Genomic DNA, 3,632 nt, shown 5'->3' on the forward strand with positions numbered 1-3,632 from the left:
GAAGCATCTTATGAGTTAATGCTCTCTCTCCTTGGAAGCTCAAGCAGGGTCAATGACTCTCCAAGATGCTGAAGAAGAGATTCTTAAAGAACATAAGATGCAATGATGCTCATTTTCTTCTTCTCCTGTGTTTTACTTGTTAAATAATATTTTCCTCCATTATTAGTATCCTTTTTATTACTGGGGTACTCTTTCAAAGTTATGAACACTGACATGAGTTTTCATTTTGGTAAATAAAACAAAAAATGTAAAGTTTTTTTTCTGGCAATTTTTTTTTTTTTTTTTTTTTTTTTGTGAGACAGAGTTTTGCTCTTGTTACCCAGGCTGATGCAATGGCACAATCTCAGCTCACCGAAACCTCTGCCTCCCTGGTTCAAGTGATTCTCCTGCCTCAGCTTCCCAAATAGCTGGGGTTACAGGCATGCACCACCACAGCCAGCTAACTTTGTATTTTTAGTAGAGATGGGTTTCTCCATGTTGGTGAGGCTGGTCTCAAACTCCCAACCTCAAGTGATCTGCCTGCCTTGGCCTCCCAAAGTGCTGGGATTATAGGCGTGAGCCACACACCCACCTATGCATGTCCTTTCAGCAAAATTATTAGTAGCATCCCATTTCACTCTCAGAAGTGTCCCAATTTAAGTAAATCATAGGATCATCCTACCTAGAATTTTCTCAATGCTTTCCTTAGGGCATCTTTCAGTTCCTTGTTCCTCAAACTATAGATCAAGGGGTTTAAAATGGGAGTGATAAATGTGTAGGCCACAGATACCACCCGGCCCATCTCAGGAGAGTAGCTGGAACTGGGGGACAAGTATATAAAGCTGGTGCAGCCATACTGCAGGAGGACCACTAAGATGTGAGAAGAGCAGGTAGAGTAGGCTTGCTGGCGCCCTTCTGCTGACCGGATCCGTAAAATGGCTACCACGATGAAGACATAGGAGATGGAGATCAATGAGAGGGGGATGCTAAGGACGATGAAGCTGATGATATACAGAGCAGTCTTGTGAACGCGTGTGTCTGCACAAGCCAGGCGCATGACTGCAGGCATGTCACAGTAGAAGTGGTAGATCTCATCATTGTGGCAGAATGGGAGATGGAAGATTAAAATGGTGAGTGGCAGTGACAACAGGAACCCCAGCACCAAGGAGCCTACCAGCAGCTCCACACACAAGGACCAGCTCATGATGAGCCTGTATCGCAGAGGGTGACAGATCGCTATAAACTGGTCATAAGCCATGACTACCAGCAGGACACAATCAGCCCCACCCAAGAAGACAAAGAAAAACATCTGGGTGCCACATCCCGTGATGGAAACAGGAGTTTTGCCCATTGAAAGGAGGTTTGCCAAGGCCAATGGGGTGATGGAAGATGTATAGAAGATTTCTAGAACTGCCAGATTAGCCAGGAAAAAGTACATGGGGGTGTGGAGGGAATGATTGATCTGAACAATGACTGCAATTGTAGCATTTCCACCGAGGCTGGTCAGATACATCATCAGGAAGACCACAAAAATCAGCATCTGGACCTCAGGGTCAGGTGAGAATGGACGAAAGAAAAACTGCATCTTTGCAGTTTTATTTATTCCTTCCATGAGTAGAGTATTGGACCTAAGAGGAAAGATGACATGGGCCTCAAGGCATCTCTGGTTTCATATGATGCTTTCCCAACTTCTCCATTCAGTATTCAGGCACTTGCTGAGAAACCTCAGGGATGATGTGCATGTTTTCATTTTATAGCAGATTATATAGCATTATAATTTATACATTTGCCACCTCCTCATCTTTCCTCTCCCACCTCCCAAGTACCAAAGACTGAAAAATCCTCAGTGGCAGGGACTTTATCTTTTTTATTTTATTTTATTTTTTGAGATGGAGTCTCGCTCTGTCACACAGGCTGGAGTGCAGTGGTGCAATCTTGGATCACTGCAACCTCTGCCTCCTGGATTCAAGTGATTCTCATGCCTCAGCCTCCTGAGTAGCTGGGATTACAGGTGCCCGCCACCATGCCTGGCTAATTTTTGAATTTTTAGTAAAGATGGGGTTTCACTGTGTTGACCAGGCTGGTTTCGAACTCCTGACCTCAGGTGATCCGCCAGCCTCTGCTTCCCAAAGTGCTGGGATTACAGGTGTAAGCCATCACGCCTGGCCTGGTGATCTTTATTTTAATTCCAGTGCCTAGCACAGTGCCTACTGTATAGGGTTGCCAAGAAGCATTTGCTGAACAAATTAATGAATAAAGCAAATTTAAAGTTCAAAGTTACAAAATGGGTAAAATAGGGTATTGATTAATTATATAAGACAATAAATAAAAAATTTTAGGATTGTATAGGCAGATGTATGCCATAATTTAAAGAGAATTGTGTTGCTGGCATATTATGAAATTGAATCATAAACTCTGTAATATATCTCAAAACCTAGAGACTTTGATTTACATTTTTCCTTTATCCTATATGTCCCTACACACTGATAGTTCATCTTTCAAAGAGTCTCTCCTATCTGTTGCTTTGGTCCTTTCCCATTTCCTTAATCAGCTTTCTCCATTGTTATCTTCCATGAGGATTCCTGTGATAGCTATCTATTCTCCCATCTCCCTTCTCCTCCCTCTGTAATCCATCCTGCTCTCTATTATCATGTTGCTTATATGCTTAGAAATTTTCAGTGCCTTCCTATTGCTTAAATGTTGACCTTCACAGTCTTCTGCCAATTATTCCAGTCTCTCTTGGAGCTGACTTTTTTAGACTAATCCTGCTATGGCGCTTAAATATCCCTGTTACAGACCACATGGTCTACTCATTGGCCTCTTATTCATATTCTCCCTGCTGCTTCATATACTTCCATTCTCCTTCCAACTAGAAATACTTTCTCCTCTCTTTTGCTTAATCCAAATCATACCCAATTTTCAAATTCTAGGATATGTTGTTCTTTTATGAAATCTCCCTAGGTCACTCTCTTTCCTTTCTCTGACGTTTTACGTTGCTCAGTATTATGAGTTTAGTGCTACCAAACTGTATTTTACTGTATCTATATGTCCTGACCCAATTACATTTTATGTTCCCCAAGGATGGGGGCTGGACCTCTGTCTTATGAAAAATTATCATTTCTTTCATAATAAGCGCAAGGCATGGTGAAAAGTGCTCTATTATGCATTTGCCCACTTAATCTATAAAACCATGTTAGTAGGGGTGTACTATCATCATCCCTTTTTAACAGATGAAGACACATAGGCTTAAAGAAATTTTAACATTTTCTGAATTCACATAGCTAGAAAATGGAAAAGTCACGGTTTGAACAGTTTGTTTGATTATAGAGCTTGTTTGCTTAACCTTAGTTTATACCCTACTTTCTCCCTCCATACTTTTTATCTCCTAAGTAGCTTTGCTATTAATTGATTACAATTCAGAACTCTAGATGGTCTATTGGAAAAAGAGTACCTAAGATCTAGGACTGAAAATGTTGGATTATAGTATTTCCACACTTGAGAGACATAATTACAATAATAATTACAATACATGATTACTATGGCTATCTAGTAAATGCTGCTCCGGGCAATGCAGCAAAAAGAACTTCCCTTTTTTCTCTTCTAAGGAGCAGAGGAAAAATATTTGGCTAAAAACTGTGATGTTTTGGGTGGAG

General features: G+C 40.9%; 1 protein-coding gene across 1 annotated transcript; it reads right to left on the reverse strand.

The window, feature by feature from the left end:
• Window positions 1–661: 661 nt before the first annotated feature.
• Window positions 662–1,591, reverse strand: OR10V1 (olfactory receptor family 10 subfamily V member 1). Its single transcript, NM_001005324.1, has one exon. The coding sequence runs from the start codon at window positions 1,589–1,591 to the stop codon at window positions 662–664; it is 930 nt and encodes a 309-aa protein (NP_001005324.1).
• Between the last annotated feature and the right edge of the window lie 2,041 nt (window positions 1,592–3,632).

This window comes from Homo sapiens, chromosome 11, assembly GCF_000001405.40.
Source record: "Homo sapiens chromosome 11, GRCh38.p14 Primary Assembly".
Taxonomy (NCBI): domain Eukaryota; kingdom Metazoa; phylum Chordata; class Mammalia; order Primates; family Hominidae; genus Homo; species Homo sapiens.